Source organism: Homo sapiens, chromosome 3 (genome assembly GCF_000001405.40).
Source record: "Homo sapiens chromosome 3, GRCh38.p14 Primary Assembly".
Taxonomy (NCBI): domain Eukaryota; kingdom Metazoa; phylum Chordata; class Mammalia; order Primates; family Hominidae; genus Homo; species Homo sapiens.
This window is the reverse complement of record NC_000003.12, coordinates 180,822,596-180,847,694: the sequence shown is the minus strand read 5'-3', so window position 1 is coordinate 180,847,694 and position 25,099 is coordinate 180,822,596. Positions and strand designations below refer to the sequence as shown.

General features: G+C 39.7%; 1 long non-coding RNA gene and 1 pseudogene across 1 annotated transcript in view; both read left to right on the top strand.

The window, feature by feature from the left end:
* Nucleotides 1-25,099, top strand: part of LOC101928882 (uncharacterized) — a 162,590-nt gene that overhangs the window by 22,484 nt on the left and 115,007 nt on the right. The window contains exon 2 of the long non-coding RNA NR_109986.1: nucleotides 71-188. This is a non-coding gene — a long non-coding RNA (uncharacterized LOC101928882). The remainder of the gene's footprint in view (nucleotides 1-70; nucleotides 189-25,099) is intronic.
* FLYWCH1P1 (FLYWCH-type zinc finger 1 pseudogene 1) lies at nucleotides 17,777-19,753 on the top strand (annotated as a pseudogene).

The following is a 25,099-nucleotide window of genomic DNA, read 5'->3' as shown; positions in this document are numbered from 1 at the left end:
TCTTGCTAACCCTTTTTTGAGGATACCTGTACTGGATTATTGCAATAATAATTTTTTTTTTTTTTCACAGAGTATCACTCCATCACCCAGGCTGGAGCACAGTGGTGCAACCTCAGCTCACTGCAAGCTCTGCCTCCTGGGTTCGAGTGATTCATGTGCCTCAGCCTCCCAAGAAGCTGGAATTACAGGTATGTGCCCCAACGCCTGGCTAATTTTTGTATTTTTAGAAGAGACGAGGGTTTACCATGTTGGTCAGGCTGGTCTCGAACTCCTAACCTGAAGTGATCTGCCTACCTCGGCCTCCCAAAGTGCTGGGATTACAGGCGTGAGCCACCACGCCTGGCCTATTGCTATAATCATTAAGAAAACTAGTGACAACAAGAGTTGTTCATTACAAGGAGATAATTTGGCAGGGTCTACCATGCCTATCTTGTAATTTCCATTAAATCTTTGTTCTGGCTTTTCCTCCATTCAAGAGGGAATGCCTTCCCTACTTAGAGGGAAGCAAGACCCACAGCAGAATATCATGTTTCCTCATTTGTTATTTCTCTTTCATTAGCTCCATTCTACTCAGTGAAATGTAACTCGGGAGGTCAGGTTGCTTCTGGCTAAATACTATATTCATTGATATTTGACCCTTGGGAAAGAGGGAGGTTATCCATAGAAATTCCTCCACATCTAACAAGATCTGGTTATATATATTTTTCCTGCTGCCCTCAGCAATAATAATGTCCACCTTTTGGAGACTCCAAATAATTCTGAAGTAATTATTTTGTGAAAGGTAGAAATCATTGAACTTTTACTTACTAATAGAAAATTAAATGTAGAGGAGATACTAGTTATGGTTTGAAAGAAAAAAGCATGGTTATTTTATTTGCATTAATTAGTTCAGGGAAGATGTTTGTGAATGTGTCGAATTCTGTGTTTGGACTTCTCATGAGTACTATGTTTTGGATAAACATGTTAATCAAAAATGCAGTCAAAAAAAGACAAAAAAAATCCAATTAAGAGTGATATCACCAAGATAGGGGAGTAGAAGATACCAGCTTTAATCCACCAACTCCTCCTAACAAAAACAAATATGGACAGTTACTCCCAAACCAAAAGAGCCCAGGGAGGGCTTGAGAGGCCATTAAATAATCTGCAGCAAAATGGTGGGACCAAAAAACCCCCAGAGAATATCCACACATGAAGGATCAGTGGTGATTCTGGCATACTGACATGCCAGAAGATGGCTAGGATCAAAGAACAAAGGTGGAGGCTATCAGCCACGCAGTGGGAGCCACTATGGTCCCTGGGGGCCTGTTCCACAGAAAACATCAGGATCTTTTGCTACTTCGGTAACCAACAGCTATTCCCACTGGGGATCCCCAAAGAGGGCAATGTGGCTGCACACCTCTCCTTTACCCAAGAAGTTGCTACTGTTGAGGGACTTTGAAAAAAAACCACTACTTTTTCCAATCCTGTGTGTCCCACAACTGTGGAGCAGTGGCTGCTCTATGAGTGCCCACGCTCTGGACCCAGGCTGTATGGTTTCATTGGGCCAATCCATATCTCAGACACTGAAGCCATCACCAGAGTAAGCTAGTTCACATTCTTGGCCCTGAAGCCAAACCCTCACTGGGCATGCCCATGTTTCAGGTACTAGCTGAGCAGCTACAGAAAGGTAAACTCAACCCTAACCCCAAAGCTGCTTTAACTCTGTGCACACCTATCTTCCCATTCCCAACTTCTCTGACTGCTTCACAAATCTTCATGCCTCACATTCTATTACCAATATAACAGAAGAGGTGTCTGTGCTTCAGGCAGCAGTGCCATTACCACTCCAGATACTAGAGCTGTAGTCCCTCCATGCATGCTCATGCTTCTGGGTTCAGCTCTGTGGCCATTCCATGGGCACCACTCATCTGGCGCTGGTGCCACTGTCACTCCAAGCAAGCCCATGAGCCAGACCCAGTGCCAAAAGGGTCTTCAAACACAGTTTCCCCAGTGGTAAAAAAGAGTGGGAGGATCTTAGTAGCCATTGCCACTGAAGACTTCAATAACCCTCACTACCACTGTGGAAATCCACAGTCTTGACCACTGAGGACACCTGCAGTCTTCATCAACACTCTCCCTAGCTGATAGAGTTGCACAGAGACTACACAACTGGCATATTCATTGGTACACCCCAGTGAGCAAGTTTCCTCATACCCTTCAAAAATATTTCCAAAGTGAAACTAGTCTGTAATGTCTGCAATAGGTGACTGCTCCACCAAATACATGGACATCAGTGTAAGACAACAAGAAACATGACAAACCAAGGAGACATAAAACCACCAAAAGAACACAATAATTTCACAGTAGCTAGCCCCAAAGAAACAGAGATATATAAACTGCCTGACAAAGTTGTTTTTTTTTTGTTGTTTTTTTTTTTCCCAGATGGAGTTTCATTCTTGTTGCCCAGGCTGGAGTACAATGTCATGATTTTGGCTCATTGCAACCTCCGCCTCCTGGGTTCAAGTGATTCTCCTGCCTCAGCCACCCAAGTAGCTGGGATTACACGCGCCCGCCACCATGCCTGGTTAATTGTTTTTTGTATTTTTAGTAGAGATGGTGTTTCATCATGTTGGCCAGGCTGGTCTGAAACTCCTGACCTCAGGTGATCCACCCGCCTCAGCCTCCCAAAGTGCTGGGATTACAGGTGTGAGCCACTGTGCCTGGCCAATAATTTAAAATAAATGTCTTAAGGGAGCTCAGTTAACTTCAAGAAAATATAGAACAATGGAATGATATCAGAAAAATAAAAAATGACAAAAGAAGAAATTTAACAGAGAGATTAGAATTACTTAAAAAAATCCAGAAATTCTGGAGCTGAAATACACAATAAATGAAGTTTAAAATGCAATAGAGAGCATCAACAGGAAAATTGAACAAGCTGAAGAAATCTGTGAACTCAGAAACATGTTATTTAAAAAAATTGTCAGAGGACAAAAAGAATGAAAAGAAATAAAGCTTACAGGATGTATAGGACAGCATCAAAAGAGCAAATACTTAGTTAAAGATATTAAAGAAGTCAAAGAGAAAGACAAAGGGGGTAGAAAGCTTATCTAAAAATATAATATCTGAAAACTTTCCAAATCTGGGGAAAGATAATATCCATGTACCAGAAGATCACAGATTTCCAATCATATTCAATCCAAACAAGATGACACCAAGATACATTATAATCAAACTGTCAAAAGTCAAAGATAGAAGATAAGCAAGTCACATGTAACAGAATTTCACCAACGCTAGCAGCATATTTCTCGGAAGAAACCTTATAGATCTGGATAAAGTGAAATGATATAGTCAAAGCACTGAAGGATATATTCAAAAACTGCAAACCAAGAACACTGTACCTAGCAAAACTGTCCTTCAAAAATGAAGGAATGACAAAGACTTTCCCAAACAAAAGCTGAGGAAGTTTATCACTGTCAGACCTACCTTAAAACAAATGCTAAAGGAACCTCTTTAAACTGAAAGAAAAAATGCTAATTAGTAACACAAACACATATGAAGATATAAAACTTATTGCAAAAACTAAGTACACAGAATGTTTACTACTGAAATGGTGGTGTGTAAATCAATGATATATTCAGTATGAAGGTTAAAAGATAAAACTATTAAAAATAATAGCTACAATAGGTTGCAGGATATACAATAGAAAAAATTGTAAATTGGGACATCAAAAACAAAATGTGTGAGAGATGGAGTAAAAGTGTAGGGTTATTTTATGTGACCAAGGTTAAATTGTTATCAGTTTTGAATATCCCATTATAACGTTAAAATGTTTTATGTAAGCCTCATGGTAACCACAAAAAAATTGATAGTACATATACAAAAGATAAAAAGTAAGGAATCAGGCTGGGCACGGTGGCTCACACTTGTAATCCCAGCACTTTGGAAGGCCTAGGAGCGTAGATCACAAGGTCAGGAGTTCGAGACCAGCCAGTCCAATATGGCGAAACCCTGTCTCTACTTAAAAGTACAGAAATTAGCCAGACACGGTGGCACGCACCTGTAGTCCCAGCTACTCGGAGGCTGAGGCAGGAGAATCACTTGAACCCAGGAGGTGGAGGTTGCAGTGAGCCGAGATCGCATCACTGCACTCTAGCCTGGGCAACAGAGTGAGACTCCATCTCAAAAAGAAAAAAAAAAAAAAAACAAAAAAAAACAAAAGTAAGGAATCAGCCAGGTGGCCAGGCATGGTGGCTCATGCCTGTAATCCCAGCAGCACTTTGGGAGGCCAAGGTGGGTGGATCACCTGAGGTCAGGAATTTGAGACTAGTCTGGCCAACATGGTGAAATCCCATCTCTACTAAAAAAATACAAAAATTAGCTGGGCATGGTGGTGCATACCTGTAATTCCAGCTACATGGGAGGCTGAGGCAGGAGAATCACTTGAATCTGGGAGGCGGAGGTTGCAGTGAGCCAAAATTGTGCCATTTCACCCCAGCCTGGGTAACATAAGTGAAACTCCCTCTTAAAGGAATCAAAGCATACCAATAAAGAAAATTATCTAATCCCAAAGGAAGGCAGCAAGAGAGAATGAAAGAAATGATCTACAGAACAACCACAAAATTGTTAACAAAATAGCAGTAGTAAGTCCTTACTTATCAATAATTATCTTGAACGTAAATGGATTTTATTATCCAATCAAAAGACACAGTGGCTGAATGGATAAAAAACAAGACCCAACTGTATCCTGCCTATAAAAGGTTCAGGTCACCTTTAAGAACACAGACACATTGAAAGTGAATGGATGAAAATATTCCATGCAAATGGAAAACAAAGGAAAGCAGAGATAGTGATAGTTATATCAGATAAAGTAGAGTATAAGTCAAAACTATAAAATGATAGAAGAAGGGTCATATAATGATAAAGGAGTCAACTCATCAAGAAGATACAATTGTAAATATACATGCACCCAACTTCAGGGCACCTAAATATATAAAGCAAATATTAATAGATCTGAAGAGAATAAGAGACTGACACAGTAATGATAGAGGACTTAAATACTCCACTTTCAACAATGAACAGATCATCCAGACTGAAAATTAATAGGGAAACATTAGACTTGAACTACACTTTAGACCAAATGACCGTAGCAGACATATGAAGACCATTTCACCCAATAGCAACAGAATACACATTCTTAAGCACACGTGGAACATTGTCCAGGATAAATCACATGTTAAGACATAAAATAAGTCTTAATAAAATTAAGAAGATTGAAATCATATCAAGTATGTTTTCTAGGCACAATGGTATAAAACTAGAAATCTGTAAGAGAAAGAATTTTGGAAAATTCACATGTGGAAATTAAACAGCATGTTCCTAAACAACTAATGGGACAAAGATGAAGTTAAAAGAAAAATTGAAAGATATCTTAAGACAAACAAAAGTTAAAACACAACATATACAAACTTATAGGATGTAGCAAAAGTAGTTCTAAGACAGAAGTTTGTAGTAATAAATGCCTACATTGAAAAAGAAGATTACAGATAAACAACATAATGTTATACCTCAAGGAACTAGAAAAAGAAGATGAAGTAAGCCCAAAGTTAGTAACAGTAAGGAAATAATAAAGATTAGAGCAGCAATAAATGTAATGGAGACTAGAAAAATAATAGAAAAGGTCAATGAAACTAACAGTTTTGTAAAAAGACAAATTTGAAAAACCTTTAACTAGGCTAGGAAAAAGGAGAGAAGACTCAAATCAGAAATTAGAGGACATGACAACTGATAACATGGAAATACAAAGGATCATAAGAAACTACTATATAATTTTATATCAACACATTGGATAACCTAGAAGAAATAGATACATTCCTAGACACCACCTACCAAGATTAAATCTGAAGATATAGAAAATGTGAACAGACTGATAACTTATAAGAGACTGAATCAGTAATAAAAAGTCCTGCTTCAAAGAAAAGCCCAGGACCCGATGGTTTCACAGCTGAATTCTAGCAAACATTTAAAGAACTAATATAAATCTTTCTCAAACTTTTCTAGAAAATTGAAGAGGAGGGAATACGTCCAAACTCATTTTGCAAGGATTACACTAGTACCAACGCCAGACAAGGACACCTAAGAAAATAAAATTATAGGCCAGTATCCCTGAAGAATATAGATGCAAAAACCAAGGAACCAAATACTAGTAAACTGAATTCAGCAGTGCATTAAAATGATCATTCACCATGATCGAGTGTGATTTATCCCATGGGATGCAAGGATAGTTCAACATATGCCAATCTATATGTGTGATACACCTCATTAACAGAATGAAGGATAAAAACCACATGATGATCTCAATTGATGCAGAAAAGGCATTTGAAAAAATTTAACATTCTTTTGTGATAAAAACTCTCAAAAAACTAGGTATAGAAGAAATGCATCTCAACATAAAGACCATATATGACATACCCATCACTAAGCCTTTGTTACTCCTTTATTTCTGAAGGACAGTTTTGCTGGGTATAGTGTTCTTGGTTTATACTTTTTGAAGATATCCTTCAGTGCTTTGAATATGTCATCCCTCTTTATCCTGGTCTGCAAGGTTTCTTCTGAGAAATATGGTGCCAGCCTTAATGAAGTTCTGTTATATGTGATTTGCTTATCTTGCTGCTCTCAGAATCCTCTGTCTTTGATTATAAAGATAAAGAAAAGACAAGGATGTCCCACTTTCTACTTTTATTCAACATAGTACTAGAAGTCCTAGCCAGAGCAATTAGGCAAGAGAAAGAAATAAAAGGCTTCAAAATTGGAAAGGAAGATGTTAAACTCTCTCAGTTTTCAGACAACATGTTCTTATATAGAGAGAACCCTAAAGACTCCACGAAAAATGTTAGAACTAATAACTGAATTTAATAAAGTTGCATGCTACAAAATCAACACAAAACTAAAAAAGAAATTAAGGTAACAATCCAATTTACAATAGCTACAAAAAATATAATACTGAGGAATAAATGTAAGCAAGGAAGTGAAACATTTGCTTCACTTTCACTTACATTTGTAACAAATGTAAGAAAGAGAGTCCAGAAATAAATCCCTGTATTTATGGTCAATTGATTTTTGACAAGGGTGCCAAGAATACACAATGGGGAAAGAACAGTCTCTTCAATAAATAGTATTGGCAAAACTGGATATCCACATGCAGAAGAATGAAACTAGACTCATCTCAAACCATATACAAAAATCTACTCAAAATGGATTATAAAGACTTCAATGTGAGACCAGAAATGGTAAACCTACAAACAACAACAAAAAACATAGGGGAAATGCTCCATGACATTGGTCTGGGCAACGATTTTTTAAATATGATGCCAAAGCACAGGCAACAAAACCAAAAATAGACAAGTAGGATTACATCAAACTAAAAAGCTTCTGCAAAGTAAAGGAAACAATCAGAGTGAAGAAACAACCTAGAGAATGGAAGAATATATTTGTAAACAATAATCTCAGAAGGGTTTAATAGCCAAAACATGTAAGGAACTGAAACAACTCAATAGTAAGAAAACAACCCAATTAAAACATGGGCAAAGGGGACCTAAATAGAAATTTCTCAAAAGAAGATACACAAATGGCCAACAGGTCTGTGAAAAAGATCCCAACATCTCTAATAATCAGGGAAACACAAATCAAAAGCACAATGAGATATTACTCCACAACTGTCAGAATGGCTATTCAAAAAGACAAAAGATAAATACTGGCAAGAATATGGAGAAAAGGGAACCGTTGTATACTGTTGGTGGGAATGTAAATTTGTAGGACTATTTTGGAAAACAATGTGGAGGTTCCTCACAAAAGTAAAAATAGATTACTGTATGATCCAACCATACCACTACTGGGTATGTATCCAAAGGAATTGAAATCACTGTCAATCAGATATCTGCACTCTCATGTTTGCTGCAACATTATGCACAATAGCAAGATATGGAACCAACCTTAGTGTTCATTGACAGATGAACAAATACAGAAAAAGTGTTATATATACACAATTAAATACTATTCAGCTTTAAAAAAGAGAGAAATCCTGTCATTTACAGCAACATGGGTAAACCAAGAGGACATTATGCTAAGTGAAATAAGCCAGGTGCAGAAAGACAAATATTACGTGGTCTCACTTATATGTAGAGTGTAAAAGGTTGAACTTATAGAAAGAGAGTACAATGATGGTTACAAGAGGCTGGAGGTTGGGGGATTGGGAAGATGTTAGTGAAAGGACACAAAATTTCAGTTAGGAGGAATAACTTAAAGACATCTATTGTACATTACAGTGACTAGAGTTAGTAATAATATATTGCATATTGAAAATTGCTAAAAGATTTTGTGTTCTCACCACAAGAAAATGTGAAACAATGCATGTGTTTAATAGCTTGAATTTATCCATTCCACAGTTGTATACATATATAAAAACATTGTGTTGTACACCATAAATAGACATAACTTTTACTTGTTAATTTAAAAAATCCATTGAACAGTTTGTGTGGATCCCTGGTGGAAAGTAGAACTTGGATGTAATATAAACTCAGCAACTTTTTAGTATGTGATAGATGTCTTGAGACACTAGATTGATATATTTAAGAATTTGGAGCTTCCAGTTTAGAGTAAATGAAAGTTGGCTTGAAGTATGATAAATACACACACACACACACACACATACGCATGCACACACATTAAAAAAATTTTTTAAAGACAATCTCACTCTGTCACACAGGCAATCACAGCTCACTGCAGCCTCAATCTCTTAGGCTCAAGTTATCCTCCCGCCTCAGCCTCTCAAGTAGCTGGGACTACAGGCATGCGCCAACACACCTAGCTAGTTTTAAAATTTTTTGTAGCAACAGGGTCTCGTTATGTTGCTTAGGCTGATCTTGAACTCCTGGGCTCATGTGATTCTCCTGCCTTGACCTTTATGGACACGAGCCACCACGCCTGTCTCCACTCACTGTGACCTCTGCCTCCCGAGTTCAAGTGATTCTCCTGCCTCAGCCTCTTGAGTAGCTGGGATTACAGGTACCCACCAACATGCCTGGCTAATTTTTGTATTTTTAGTAGAGGTGAGGTTTTACCATGTTGGCCAGGCTGGCCTCGAACTCCTGACCTTAGGTGATCCACCCCTTTGGCCTCCCAAAGTGCTAGGATTACAGGCATGAGCTACCACGCCCAGCCATAGTGCAATACTTTTAAAGGACGTTGATTATTTGGATCTCATGTAACCAGGGCTTATGCTTTCATTGATTTATACATAAGTTTTAGGCAATTTATAAAACTAAGCAAATTTGGAAATCTTAGAAACTGATTATTCTTTTTTTAATTTCCATTTTTATTTTAGATTCTGGGGTTACATGTGTAGGTTTGTTACAAGGGTATATTGTGTGATGCTGAGGTTTTGGGCTTCTATTCATCCTGTCACCTACATAGTTAACATAGTACCCAATAGGAAGTTTTATATCCCTTGTCTTCCTCCCTCCTTCCTTTCTTTCAGAGTCCCCAGTGTCTATTGTTCCCTTCTGTGTCCACATGCACTCAATGATTAGCTCCCACTTGTAAGTGAGAACATAGGGTATTTGGTTTTTGTTCCCGTGTTAATTTGCTTAGGATAATGGCCTCCAGCTGCATCCATGTTCCTGCAAAGCACATGATGTCCTTTTCTATGGCTGCATAATATTCCATGGTGTATATGTACATTTTCTTTATCTCACCCACTATTGATGGGCACCTAGACTGATTACATGCCTTTGTTATTGTGAATAGTGCTGCAATGAACATACAAGTGCATGTGTCTTTTTGGTAGAACAATTTATTTTTGAGGGGGTATATACCCAGTAATGGGATTGCTGGGTGGAATGGTAGTTCTATTTTTAGTTCTTTGAGAAATCTCCAAACTGCTTTTCACAGTGGCTCAACTATTTTGCCATTTTTAATAACAAAAACCACAATTAGTTTTGCAGCAACCTTATAGTTTACTTTCCTACCAGTAGTGTGTAAACATTCCCTTTTCTCCACAGCCTTGCCAACATCCGTTATTTTTTGACTTTTTAATAATAGCCATTCTAATTGGTGTGAGATGGTATCTCATTGTGGTTTTGATTTGTCTTTCTTTGATTATTAGTGATGTTGGGCATTTTTTCATATGTTTGTTGGCTGCTTGCATGTCTTCGAGAAGTGCCCGTCCATGTTCTTTGTCCACTTTTTAATGTGGTTGTTTGTTTTTTGCTTGTTGATTTAAGTTTTTTATAGAGTCTGGATATTAGTCCTTTATTGGATGCAGAGTTTGCCAATATTTTCTCCCATTCTCTAGGTTGTATGTTTACTCTGTTGATAATTTCCTTTACTGTGCAGAAGTTCTTTAGTTTAATTAGGCTCCATTTGCCAATTTTTGTTTTTGTTGCAATTGCTTTTGAGGACTTAGTCATAAATTATTTGCCAAGGCCGATGCCCAGAAGGATATTTTTAGGTTTTCTGCTAAGATTTTTAAGGTTTCAGTCTTACATTTAAATTTTTTATCTTTTTGTATATGGTAAAAGAAAGGAGTCCAGTTTTATTCTTCTGCATATGGTTAACCAGATTTTTCAGTACCATTTATTGAATAGGGAGTCTTTTCCCCATTGCTTGTTATTGTCAACTTTGTCAAAGATCAGTTGGTTGCAGGCATGTGGTTTTATTTCTGGGGTTTCTATTCTGTTCCATTGGTCTATGTGTCTATTTTTGTACTAGTACTATGTTGTTTTTGGTTACTATCATCTTCAAACTGTAGTATGAAGTCAGGTAATGTGATGCCTCCGGTTTTGTTCTTTTTGCTTAGTATTGCTTTGGTTATTTGGCCTCTTTTATTTGGTTTCATATGAATTTTAGAATAGTTTTTCAGAATTCTGTGAAAACTGATGTTGATCATTTGATAGGAATAGTGTTGAATTTGTAGATTGCTTTTAACACTATGGGCATTTTAACAATGTTGATTCTTCCAATCCACGAATATGGAATATTTTTCTATTTGTGTCATCTATGATTTATTTCATCAGTATTTTGTAGTTCTCCATGTAGAGATCTTTCATCTCCAAGGTTAGGTGTATTCCTAGGTTTTTTTGTGTGGCTACAATAAGTGGGATTACATTCTTGATTTGGTCCTCAGCTTGAATGTTATTGGCGTATAGAAGTGCTACTGGGGTTTGAATGTTGATTTTAATATCCTGAAACTTTACTGAAGTTGTTAATCAGGTCTAGGAGTCTTTCGGTGGAGTCTTTAGGATTTTTCTAGGTATAGAATTATATTGTCAGTGAAGAGAGATAATTTGATTTCCTCTTTTCCTATTTTAATACCTTTTTTTTCTTTCTTTCTCTTGCTTGATTGCTCTGGCTATGACTTCCAGTACTATGTTGAGTAGGAGCGGTGAAAGTGGGAATCCTTGTTTTATTCCAGTTTTCAAGGGGAATGCTTCCAGCTTTTGCCCATTCAGTATGATGTTGGCTATAGATTTGTCACAGACGCCTTTATTATTTTGAGGTATTATCCCATGATATTTAGTTTCCTGAGGTTTGTTTTTTTTTTACTCATGAAAGGATTGGATTTTATTGAAATATTTCTGCGTCTATTGAGACGATCATATGAGTTTGTTTTAATTTTGTTTATGTGGTGAATCACGTTTGTTGATTTGTGTATTGTGAACCAACCTTACATCCCAAGAATAAAGCCCACTTGATCTTGATGAATTAACTCTTCAATGCACTGCCAGATTTGGTTTGCTAGTATTTTATTGAGGATTTTTGCATCTATGTTCATCAGGTTTAATTGGCCTTTGGTTTTCTTTTTTCCTTGTGTCCTTGCCAGATTTTGGTATTAGGATGATACTCGTTTTGTAAAATGAGTTAGGGAAGAGTTCCTTCTCCTCAGTTTTTTGAAATAGTTTCAGTAGGATTGGTACTAGCTCTTTTTACGTCTGCTAGAATTCAGCTGTGAATCCATCTGGTCCACAGCTTTTTTTGGTTTGTGGATTTTTTTTTTTTCAAATTACTGATTCAATTTTGGAACTTGTTATTGGACTGTTCAGGGTTTCAATTTCTTCCTGTCAATCTTGGGAAGTTATGTGTTTCCAGGAATTTATCCATTTCCTCTAGATTTTCTAATTTGTATGCATAGATGTGTTTATAGTAGTCTCTGAGGATCTTTTGTATTTCTTTTGAATCGGTTATAATGCCACCTTTATCATTTCTGATTGTGTTTATTTGAATCTTCTCACTTTTTTCTTTGTTAATCTAGTTTGCAGTCGATTGGTCTTGTTTATCTTATCAAAGAACCCACTTTTTGTTTCATTGATTCTTTCTGTGTTTTTTGGGTCTCAATTCTGTTTAGTTCTACTCGGATTTTAATTATTTCTTTTCTTCTGCTTACTTTGGAATTAGTTTGTTCTTGTTTTTCTAGTCCCTTTAAGTGGTAGAGTGTTAATCTGAGATCTTTCTAACCTCTTGATGTAAGTATTTAGTACAATAAACTTCCCTCTTAACACTGCTTTGTTGCATCCCAGAGATTTTGTCATGCTGTGTCTCCATTATCATTTGTTTCAAATAATGTTTTGATTTCTGCATTAATTTTACTGTCTACCCAAAAGCCATTCAGGAGCAAGTTATTTAGTTTCCATGTCACTGTGTGGTTTTGAGAGTTCCTCTTGGTGTTGATTTCTATTTCCATTCCACTGAGGTCTGAGAATATGCTTGGTATGATTTCAATTTTTTTGAATTTGTTGAGACTTGCCTAATGGCTGAGAATGTGATAGATTTTAGAGTATGTACCATGTGCAGATGAGAAGATACATATCCTGTGGTTATTAGGTGGAGTATTCTGTAGATGTCTATTAGAACCAATTGGCCAAGGGCCAAATTTAAGTCCAGAATTTTTTTGTTAGTTTTCTGCCTTGATAATGTAATACCGTCAATGGGGTATTGAAGTCTTCCAGTATTATTGTGTAGCTATGTCAAAAATGGATTATTCTTATCAGTTGACATATCCCGACAATGTTTCTAGCACTTTAAGATTATTATTTATTGATATTATGATATCTTCTGGGGGTTTATTTTAATATTTAGTGTAACGAATAAGATAAAGTGGCTGTGATGAAGGTCTGGAACAGCATCTGCCTAAAAGGCAAATATAGTGATTACTCTTTACATATAACCTGAAATCCAGAACAATATAGCATCTGAGGATAAAATAATTTAAATTGTAGGTGCCTAAGGTTTGCATCCTGATGTATCTGAAATGTGTTCCATATTACCTTGGCTTTCAATTTCTCTAATTTTTCTATTTGATTAGAAGTTATTCATTTTGGGGGCAATGATGAAATTCCAATTCGAACTGTCTTATATCTTTTAATCAGAATTTTCCCAAAGCACAAAAGTGAAAATGTAGAAGTTGCTGTGTTTCATTAGTTTCATTCTTTTGAATGTTGCTACACTGAAAGCGCTGTGTGAAATTATTAGAAGACAAGTTTTCAAATGGTTGTAAAAGAAGATGCATATATGGGGACTCACTCAAAGGGCATTATTTAAAAAAGAAATTTCCAGCCACCCAGATCTCAGGGTAGCTATGTCCATTCAAGGATAGAGAATCCACCATCTGTATGATTATTTTTACGTCTGAACTTTTTTATACACCAGAGAGACTCAAAACTTTCAGGGTCATTTGCTCAGCATGTAGTGGAATGTCCTGCGCAATAGATTCCAATTAATATGACCATGTTCAATGGCCCTTTACCACCAATGATATCTAACTGCTTTCCACTTGGCTTTATATGGTACTTCTTTGTTACAGCTGCAACCAGGTCTATCGCCCCTTTGATAAAAATTTCAGTTACCCCAGGGAGAAGCTTTCAACTTTATTAAGTATTGAAGTCTGTACATTTGTTCTTCTTTGGAAGAGCAGATCAAAAGCACGCTTTCTAAGTAAGTAATCTGATAAATTAGGATAGCATTTGCAGACTTGGGCAATATGTTTTTCCGTAATTGAAACCTGAGAACCTGTGTCAACTGACTATACTATTATAAACTTCTTAGCATTTAACAAGAGTTTCTTTTATTTTTTGAAAGTAAATAGAATTCCTTGATTCGATTTAACCAATTCTTTAGCATGCTGTTTCCTTTTTGTTGTGGTTAGGAAAACCTCAATGTAGGTTTAGAGATAGAAAACTGACAATCAAGAAAAAAAAAAGCAATTAGATGATCAAGTTGTGGTACAGACAAAAGCCCGTGTTGTCGTCTTATCTCTGGCATTAATTTACTGTAAAAACTTGAGCAAGCCACTTAATTTTTCTGGGCCACAGTTTCCTCATCTTTGAAAAGGGATAATTGGCTAAATTATGTGTAAGACTTCTGCTGATTCTGAAATTCTCTGATTCTAAGTCTTAGGCAGAATGAGGCTAGACACAGAATACCTTATATTTGCATGCGGCCATTTTTACTTTGCATCTCCTGCCTGCTTCAATTCCAGGTTTGGTTTGGCAATGGAATAATATGGTGCTATTTTATCTTTGGGTAGGAATGAGATATATCTGGATCACTGGTTAAAACTGGAGTAGTAATACCTTCACAAAGGAGACTAGACGGTTGTATTTCTCCCACAGTCCCAAGCTACTAGAATGTTGAAAACGCACCAGATTTATCTTGAGAAAATTGGCTCTTCTTCGCATACATTTACAATAAAAATACAAATAAATTCAGATTTCTCCATAGCTGATGGGACAAATTTTGCCTTCTGTGTTCGTCTGAATCTGAGGGTTACCTCTGTTATTAGCATTTTCAAAGATTTAGATTGCGACCTTTGAATTCCAATTCGTGGGATTTGGATGCTTAAAAAGGATAACTTGGGCCGGGCATGGTGGCTCACTCTAATCCCAGCACTTTGGGAGGCCAAGACAGGCAGATCTTTTAGGTCAGGAGTTCTTGACCAGCCTGGCCAACGTGGTGAAATCCCGTCTCTACTAAAAATATAAAAATGAGCCAGGTGTTGTGGCGGGCGCCTGTAATCCCAGCTACTAGGGGAGGCTGATGCAGGAGAATGGAGGCGGAGGTTGCAGTGAGCCGAGATCGCGCCACTGTACTCCAGCCTGGGTGACAGAGTGACTCCATCTCAAACAAAAAAAGAAAGGATAACCTGAATCAAAATGTACATCACATGTTGCCAAAGACTAAATATAATTTCTTACAGTATTTTGTCAATGGATGCTTACAATATAAACACTCCATGTAGACATCCTCAAAGTGTTTTAGCATTAAAAAGTTGGAAACTATTTTGTAGACCAATTCTTTCTAAATTTTAAGTTCTGATGATTGGGGATCAAGTTGGGGCTATGTTCTTCAGAATCTTAAAAAGCCTAAATACTAATAATACAGTTGTGATATTAGTAGAAACTTTTCCTGGGAGGTAGGGATTTAAGAGCCAAGTTTCTCATCTCAGATCCTCAGCAATTTATTTCTGATAGTGGGCTATTCACTTGTTCTGTCTGTTACTGTTTTCTCATTTTTAACACTATATCAAACCTCTGTAAGAGGTTCGGTTCCTTTCCTGTCCTGTCCTGTCCTGTCTCGTTCTGTCGTCCAGCCTGGAATGCAATGGAGCGATCTTGGCTCAGTGAAACCTCTGCCTCCTGGGTTCAAGCAATTCTCCTGCCTCAGCCTACTGAGTAGCTGGGATTACAGGCACCCGCCACCACGCCTGGCTAATTTTTGTATTTTTAGTAGAGACAGGGTTTCACCATGTTGGCCAGGCTGGTCTCGAACTCCTGACCGCATGATCTGCCTGCCCTGGCCTCCCAAAGTGCTGGGATTATAGGCGAGAGCCACCACGCCCACCCAATAGCTAGTTTCTTAAAGGTTAATCGTACTGTAGAACCTTAAACTATATAAATAAATTTTAGGTATGTGGTTGTGTTTAAAATCCTCTTATTTGTTTTGAACTTAGAATGGGTTTTTTACTCATGCATGATTTTGTAACATCATTCAATGATAAAAATATTAGTTCACTGACTTACTCAGATTTTCTGAATCTTGACCCATTTCCTTATACAATATCAGCAATTATTTTGTTAATATCACCACTAATCTCATCAGAAAAGCTTGTAAGTGTTGAAAAACTATCAAGTTCATAGCAGTAGATTCAAGATTTCTAAAATTTTAATTTTCTCTTGAAAGCTCACATTTTGATCATAGGCAATAAATACCATCTGTTGTTTTTCTTGAAACGACAGGCTTACTTTGTCCATTAAAATTAAAGTCTGCCAAATAATCTGAAAATTCATCATTTGTCAGTCTTTTTTTTCAAGTAAAAATGATGTTTTATGAAAATGTATGCTGGTTGCATTTGTAACTCAGTTGCATGAGTTTCTTTTCCTAGAGACAACTATCATATTTCAATGTGTGGTAGAAATGCTTCATATGCACTTCCCATTTTGTAATACGGAATATTAATAAGATGTATACTCAAAGGTCTAGATTTAATAAAGTTAATCATTTTTATTGCTTTATAAAGGATATGATTAAGTGAAACTGACATTTTATTTTTATTGTGAGTGCGTGATGGTGAAGAATGTGATAACTGCCAGTGTAGTTTGGTATCACACCTTGATTCTTTCTAAGGAACCTACAGTTTTACCTACCATTGCCTTAGCAACACTGGCAATTATCAGCATAATGAAGAAAAATCACATCTTAGTTTTAAAAACTATCATAAAAACAGCTTTGGCCTTGCAGACTTCTTGAAATGGTCTTGGAGATCTCAGGAGTATGTGAATTGCATTTTGAAAATTTCTGGAGTAAGGCTGGCCAACATGGCATAACGCTGTCTCTACTAAAAATACAAAAATTAGCTGGGTGTGGTGGTGGGTGCCTGTAATCCCAGCTACTCAGGAGGCTGAGGCAGGAGCATTGCTTGAACCTGGGAGGTGGAGGTTGCAGTGAGCCAAGATTGTGCCACTAGACTCCAGCCTGGGAGTCCAGCCTGGGCACAGAGCAAGACTCTGTCAAAAAAAAAAAAAAAAAAAGAAGAAGCTGACTAGGGTTCAATATTGTTACAGTCTTGAATTTCCCCTTCTGTTTTCAGAAAAATGGGCCAGCTTCTTACTGCTCCATTTCCCATGAAGTTAAAACACCAAAAGTAAGAAACTATTAACACTGAGGCCCACTCATTAAAAGCAGGGACCCGCTTCTTAATGACTAGATTTTCTTGTCTTGCTAACTGAGACAAAATTTAATAGCAGTAGGTGGGAACTTGAACTAATATAGTCAATACCTGGTAAGCAGTACATAGTTGCTTTCTTGTCACTATATTTGCCTCATTTTCCAAAGTAAAATAATAATAAACAGACCTTTAAGAAATTTTTGGATGGGGCTCGCTCCCCAGGGACAGGTCAGGGATGGGGAGTAGGAGCCGGGGTCGGGGTGGCCGTGGCCTGGGCCTTGAGGTTGACGCCTGCTGCTGCAGCAGCAGAGGCTGAGGGACCCGTCGCAGCTCTGTCGCCCGAGAGGGAGGGCTCCGCTGCGGTGGTGAAACCAGCCCAGAGAAGTTACAGAATTTTCCCCTGGGTCTCCTGCCCAGCAAGCCAGCGCCGTGACCAGGTATGGGGGATGATGGTGGCGGCTCTCACTCACTTGTGAAGGCTGGAACCCAGGGAACCTGTGGTGACCTAGGGATTCTCCAGACACCACCGCAGCCCCACCACGACCAGCCGAGGCAGTAACAGCAACAGCTCGGGCACATGAGCGGAACCGCTGGACTCCAGGTTCCTTGCGGGGGCGCTGAGCATGACCTGAGGGACAGGCCCTGGGTCCCGGAATGCCCCTGCCCAAGCCCAGTGAGCCGGAGGGCGAGAGTGGGAAGGCTGGGCAGGAGCCGTCCCCCGAGCCAAGCACGGACGTCATCCTGGCAGCCTCAGGAAGCCCGGGAAGTTCTCCAAACTGGTCCTGCTCACGGCCTCCAACCAAGATGAGGTTGGGGTGGGCTTCAAGCCCCAGGAAGTGCACTGTGTCTTGTCCCTGGAGATGGCCGGCCCCGCCACCCTCGCCAGCACCTTGCATATCCTGCCAGCTGAGGAGCAGGGAGGGGTGGTCCAGCCAGCCCCCCAGATGCCTGAACAGAAGAGCAGCAAGCTGGACACAGCCCCGCCATTCCCTGGAGTTCCTGAGGACACCATTTGGGGGCCGCCTCCTGATGCTTGAGTCCTTCCTGTACAAGCAGGAGAAGGCTGTCGGGGACAAGGTGTACTGGAAGTGCCGCCAGCATGCTGAGCTGGGCTGCCGGGGCCAGGCCATCACCCGAGGTCTGCGGGCCACAGTGATGCGGGGCTGCTGCCAAGCGCCCGATGAGCAAGGCCTGGAGCCCTGGCGCCAGAGGGAGAAGCTGCCCAGCCTGGCCCTGCCAGAGGTCTTGGGACATCCCCGGGGTCCTGAGGGCTCTGGAAGCCGAGTGGAGGAGCCGCTGGAGAGGGGGGGCCTGTGGCAGTGCCCCAAGGAGCCGGAGCCAGAGCCCACCCCTGGGCTAGTGCTGAGCAAGCCGGCCCGGAGGACGACGACGGACCCCGAATCCTGTAGCTGCTGAGCCTGACGCCCAAGAAGTGCTCGATCCTGGGCCTGGGACAGGCCCGGCCCCTTGAGTTCCTGAGGACGTGCTACGGGGATAGCTTCCTGGTGCACGAGTCGTTCCTCTACAAGCGGGAGAAGGCCGTGGGGGAGAAGGCGTATTGGACCTGCCGGGACCACGCGCTGCACAGCTGCCGGAGCCGGGCCATCACCCAGGGACAGCAGGTGACCGTGATGCGTGGCCACTGCTACCCGCCCGACGTGGAGGGCCTGGAGGCCCGGCGGCAGCAGGAGAAGGCCATGGAGACGCTGCAGGCTGTGCAGGCCGGCCCTGGGAGCCAAGTGGACACTCTCCTCCAAGGCGTGAACAGTTTTCTCTGCCTCAGGGGCCCCGGCCCCCTGACTCTCACCAGGCCCCGGCCCAGAAAGCGAGCGAAGGTCGAAGACCAGGAGCTGCCAACCCATCCCCAAGCCCTGGAAGGATTCCTGGACGAGGACCAGGACATGGATGCCGACCCCGGAAGCCCTGAGTTCCTGCGGACCCCGCTGGAGGGCAGCTTCCTGGTATACGAGTCCTTCCTCTATAAGCAGGTGTATTGGACCTCCCGGGACCAGGTCCGCATGGGCTGCCGCAGCCTCGCCATCACCCAGGGCCGGCGGGCCATGGTGATGCGCAGGCACTGCCGCCCACCGGACGTGGGTGGCCTGGAGGCACTGCGGCAGCGGGAGCACTTCTCCATCTTGGCGCAGTGGGACTGCCCAGAACCCCTCCGGCCCCTGGAGTTCTGAAGACTTTCCTGGGGGGCAGGTTCCTGGTGCCCGAGTCCTTCCTCTACAGGAAGGAGAAGGCGGCCGGGGAGAAGGTGTACTGGATGTGCCGGGATCAGGCTCGGCTGGGCTGCCACAGCCATGCCATCACCCAGGGCCAGCGGGTTATGGTCATGCGCAGCCGCTGCCACCAGCCCAACCTGGATGGCCTAGAGGCCTTGAGGCAGCGGGAGCGGCTCCCCAGCATGGCCCAGCAGGAGGACCCAGAAAAGATTCAAGTTCAACTGTGCTTCAAGACATGTTTTCCTGAAAGCCAGCCGATTTATGGGTAATTGTGTTAGTTATCTAACGGTGAGTCACCAATTACAACAAAACGTAGTGGGCTTAAAACAAATAACAAAAACAAAAAGAAATTTTTGGTACAGGGTAAGGCCAGGTTTGCATCTGGCCTGACGCCAAAGCCCATGTACTTGGCCACTACTTTATACTGATCTCTGGGCTGCTACCTAGCTCTGAAAGTCAGTGATTCTGGAAGACAAATATCTTCCTAAAGTGGCAAATAAGGCTGTTGGTAGGATTTGTGGTGGAACTGCAAGGATTTCAGCAAATACAACATATAGTTTTTAACTATATGGAATGTATACTGTGGTCTGGTAGTTAAAAGAGCAGGCTTTGAACATAAGCTGCTCAAAGCCCAAAACTATCATTTACCAGCTTTGTGATTTAGGGAAAGTTGCTTGACCTCTTTTGCTTCAGAGTACTCATTTGTAAGATGAAATGATGAGGGATAATGATAATAATGCTACCTATCGAGGCTTCAATTAGTAATGGTTTGGTAGGTAGTAGAGCACATGGTAAGCATTAGTAAATCTCAGCTTTTATAATTATCTGCTGTGCTAAACACATGATAGCCATGCAGTACAAATTGGCTGTTATTTAACACACTTCCTCCTTCTTCTCATTACTGGTGCAAACACAATCGTCATTTGTTATTCATTTATTTGTTCCTTTGTCTGTTCTACAGTGATCTACTGAACCTAGTATGTAACAGTCACTGTGCCAGGCGATGACCCTGATCTAGTCCTACAGTTGGCAGCTCCAACATAGCTATTATTTCCATTTTACTCTAGTTACTAGGGAAGAAAAGTAGTATATTGGTTTTTCATAGGTTTCCTCAGATCATGCAGTTCATGTTGAGCATCCTGCCATTTTCCTCTATTCATTTATCTCGGATTAAAGACAGGCGCTAATAATTGCATCTAAATCAAACACACGTAGATAGGAAAGTAAGTGTCTCCCATTTTCTAATATTGTCATAAAGGTTGTAAAAATTCAAGCCAAAAAACACTTTATATGGTATATATAATTTTTTAATAAAAGTTAAAACATAAGCTAATATTACATTGATAATTACAAATATGTCCTTTGACAGGAATATCTGTAATCCATTTTTCACCATGTGTGATGCACTTGGTGCTTGAAGATTCTTTAGGAACTGCATATATGCAGATGAAAATGAAGTTCTTTACTATATTATCCTTATCACACATAAATTTCTTGAGAATGTAAAGATTCCCTGTGAGAACCCAAGAACATAAATGCTAACAATTTATTCACTAAAACTGAAACTAAGATTTGAAAATTTAAAGAAGATAATCTTTGAGTGCTAGGAAAAGCTAATCATTTTCCTTTAATCGCTCTTAAGCTTCATTCTTCCTGAAAATTTAAAGTCTTCCTAATCTTAGCAAATACTACAACGTGTAAAAATCATACAGGTGTACAGCAAATGTGTCTTTAAAATTTTATGTCCTACTGATTTGAAAATTAAATCATATTTTAAATGTATTAAGAGAAATCCCATATAAAAGAATGCTAGGATGAATCATTTCAGTGAGGAATTCTATTGTTAGCCACAGGAAAATTCTCTCTAAATTATATTTTGAGTGTCTGGATTTGTGTATTTCATGTATTTTAAGTCAAGATATGTTTATAGTAGAAGCTATTACAAAAGCATTTCTTTTCTATTTATCAAGTTAGAATAATACCGTAAGTCATTCTAGTAAAGTATCCTGAAGGAAACAAACAAAACAAACAAAAAAAACAACTATGAGTCATGAGCTGAGTTTGCTACCAGTAATAGAATTAATTTTAGTATGCATTTTCCTTGACCTCACACCATTCAATACCACTGGTCACTCCCTCTTTCTTGAATGTGCTCTTCTTTTGGCGTATGCTGACATTTGTTTAAACTGTTTCTCTCTTACCTCTTTGGCTGCTGCTTCTTCAGAGCCCTTTTCTCTCTTCTCCTTTTCTACATTTAGCTATCTCTACCTCTAGATATTAGAGCTATTTAGGTAACAATCCTGGGCTGTTCTGTTTTTACACAGTTAGACTTCATGGATCCAAATCCTGGTTACAGGGCTTGAACTCACTACAGGCAAGCCTTAAACTCTGTGTGTCTCAACTTCCTAAAATATAAAAGAGAATAATAATAGTCACTACTTCATGGGATAATTGTGAGGATTAAATGAATACATTTAAAGAATTTAGGCTGGGTGCAGTAGCTAACACCTGTAATCCCAGCACTTTGGGAGGCCTAGATGAGTGGATCACTTGAGGTCAAGAGTTCAAGACCAGCCTGGTCAACATGGCGAAACCCATCTCTACTAAAAATATACAAAAATTAGCTGGACATGGTGGTGCACGCCTGTAATTTCAGCTACTTGGGAGGCTGAGGCAGGAGAGAATCACTTGAACCTGGGAGGTGGAGGTTGTAGTGAGCTGAGATCACGCCACTGCACTCCACCCTGGGTGACAGAACGAGACTCCATTTAAAAAAAAAAAAAAAAAGGACTTTAGAACACTACATTTGGATTGTTTGTTTTTTTGTTTGTTTGTTTGTTTTTTGAGATGGAGTCTCACTCTGTCACCCAGGCTGGAGTGCAGTGGCATGATCTCGGCTCACTGCAGTCTCTGCCTCTGGGTTCAAGCAATTCTCCTGCCTCAGCCCCTCGAGTAGCTGGGATCACAGGTGCCTGCCCCATGCCCAGCTAATTTTTGTATTTTTAGTGGAGACGGGGTTTCACCATGTTGGCCAGGCTGGTCTCGAGCTTCTGACCTCAAATGATCCACCCACCCAGGCCTCCCAGAGTGCTGGGATTACAGGTGTAAGCCACTGCGCCCGGCTGGTATTTTTAATTGTTTTTATTCTGTAGCATATTCGTTCTCTATGTAATGCGCCAATTCCGATCCACATGCTGACAAATCCTAAATTTATATCTCTAGTCCAGGTCTCTCTGCTGAGGCTCAGACTGTATATATCTGACTACTAGTATCTTCACTTGGATGTCTCTCAGATACATCGAATTATGTTCAGAACTGAAAGTTAAATTATTAATCTTCCTCCTTCTAGATCTCTTCCCCACCTGCAAATTGGTCCTTCTCAAAATATTACAGAGTTAGAAATGGCATCTCTATCCCTACAGTTCAAACAGAAACAGGACAGGCATTTAAACTTTTAAAAAAAAATTTTTAATATAAAGAATTTATAATATATATAAAAATAGAATGCCTAACTTCAACAATTAGCATGGCTAATCTTGTTTCATTTATGTTGCCACCCACTCCACCATGCCCCAAACTAGATTATTTGGAAGTGAATTCTAAACACCATACCATTTTATGCATATTTATTTGTGTATGTATCTCTAAAACAATAAAGACTCTTAAAATATTTATGAAATTATTATAAATTGTCACATAATTTTTTCTTTTTTTCACTGTCAATTTAAATAAGAATCCATACAAAGTCTGTAAATGGCAAATGTTGACAAATATCTTAAATTTCTTTAATCATTCTCATTCTTATTCCCCTCATCCCAAATATATTTGTTGAAGAAACATTTGCCTTGTAGTTTTCTTTTGTCCCCCTAATTTCCTGTAAATTGGTAGTTTGAGCTGAAGGCTTAACTTGGTTTTGTTCAGGTTTGCTTTTTTATAGGAATAGTTTATGGAAAGTGTTGGGTACTTTCATCAGGAAGCACAGAAAGTCAGATTGTCTCTCCTTTTTGTGATGTGAACAACTGTTGATGGTCATTGTTTAGAATAGATCCATTATATCGTTAGTGGTTACAAAATATTAATATTCTATTTTTTAATCAGTGTTGCATTTATTGGTTGAAATTCTTCTATAAAGATTAACTTCCCCTTACAACTTTTGGTTATCCAGCAGTACCTTTCATATAGGAAAGACAAAATATTCTTTTCCTTTATTCATCAGCTTTCAGTGTGATTAGTTCATTCTGTATCATCTTCCATGAGTGATCAATGAACTTTTTTTTTTTTTTTTGGGATGGAGTCTCGCTCTGTTGCCCAGGCTGGAGTGCAGTGGTGTGATCTTGGCTCACTGCAACCTCTACCTCCCAGGTTCAAGCAATTCTCCCACCTCAATCCTCTGAGTAGCTGGGACTACAGGCACACACCACCACACCTGGCTAATTTTTTGTATTTTTAAAGTAGAGACAGGGTTTCACCATGTTGGCCAGCCTGGTCTGGAACTCCTGGTTCAAGTGATCCACCCTCCTCGGCCTCCCAAAGTGTTGGTATTACAAGAGGCTTCTTCAGTTTGGCTCCTGAGTCCTTTTAACAAATTTCAATTGTACTTAATAGCTTAATTTTTTCAATATTATAAGATATATCAAGATTATCATAGACCTCTCCTGCTCTAGTAGAGAAATCATCCATTTCTCTAAGGTATTTAGTATTGGGAAATGATATTTAGAGACCGTGGTCTGGGTTTTAGGAGTGTTCATTGTTGCTTCATTGGTCCTTGATTCTACACTTGTTCAGTGAACATAGCTAAGGAATACATAATTTTTGTTTGTTTGTTTGTTTGTTTGTTTTGAGACAGAGTCTCGCTCTGTCGCCCAGGCTGGAGTGCAGTGGCATGATCTTGGCTCACTGCAAACTCTGCCTCCTGGGTTCATGCCATTCTCCTGCCTCAGCCTCCAGAGTAGCTGGGACTACAGGTGGCCGCCGCCATGCCAGGCTAATTTTTTGTATTTTTAGTAGAGACGGGGTTTCACCGTGTTAGCCAAGATGGTCTCGATCTCCTGACCTCATGATCCGCCTGCCTCAGCCTCCCAAAGTGCTGGGATTACAGGCTGAGCCACTGCGCCCAGCTGGATTACATACATTTTTTAAAAGAGAAAATCTGATTTTATAATATTTTAATTTAGTTTAATTGTTATTTAAATTTTTTTCCTACCAATTTTCATTTTAGGTTAAGAGGGTACATATGGAGGTTTGTTATATGGATAAATTGTATGTCATCAGGGTTTTGTGTACAGATTATTTCATCATCCAGGTAATAAGTATAGTGCTCAATAGGTAGTTTTTCAGTTCTCACCCCCCTCCCACCCTCTGCCTTCAAGGAGGCCCTGGTGTTTATTGTTTACTTTTTTGTGTCCATATGTATTCAGTGGTTAGCTCCCACTTATAAGTAAGAACATGTGATATTTGGATTTTCTGTTTCTGCATTGCTTCAATTAGGATAATGGCCTCATGCTCCATCCATGTTGCTGTAAAGGACATGACTTCATTCTTTTTTTATAGCTGTGTAGTGTTCCATGGTATATATGTACCACATTTCCTCACCAGTTCACTGTTGATGGGCATCTAGGTTGATTTTATGTCTTTGCTATTGTGACTATTGCTTCGATAAACATACATGTGCATGCCT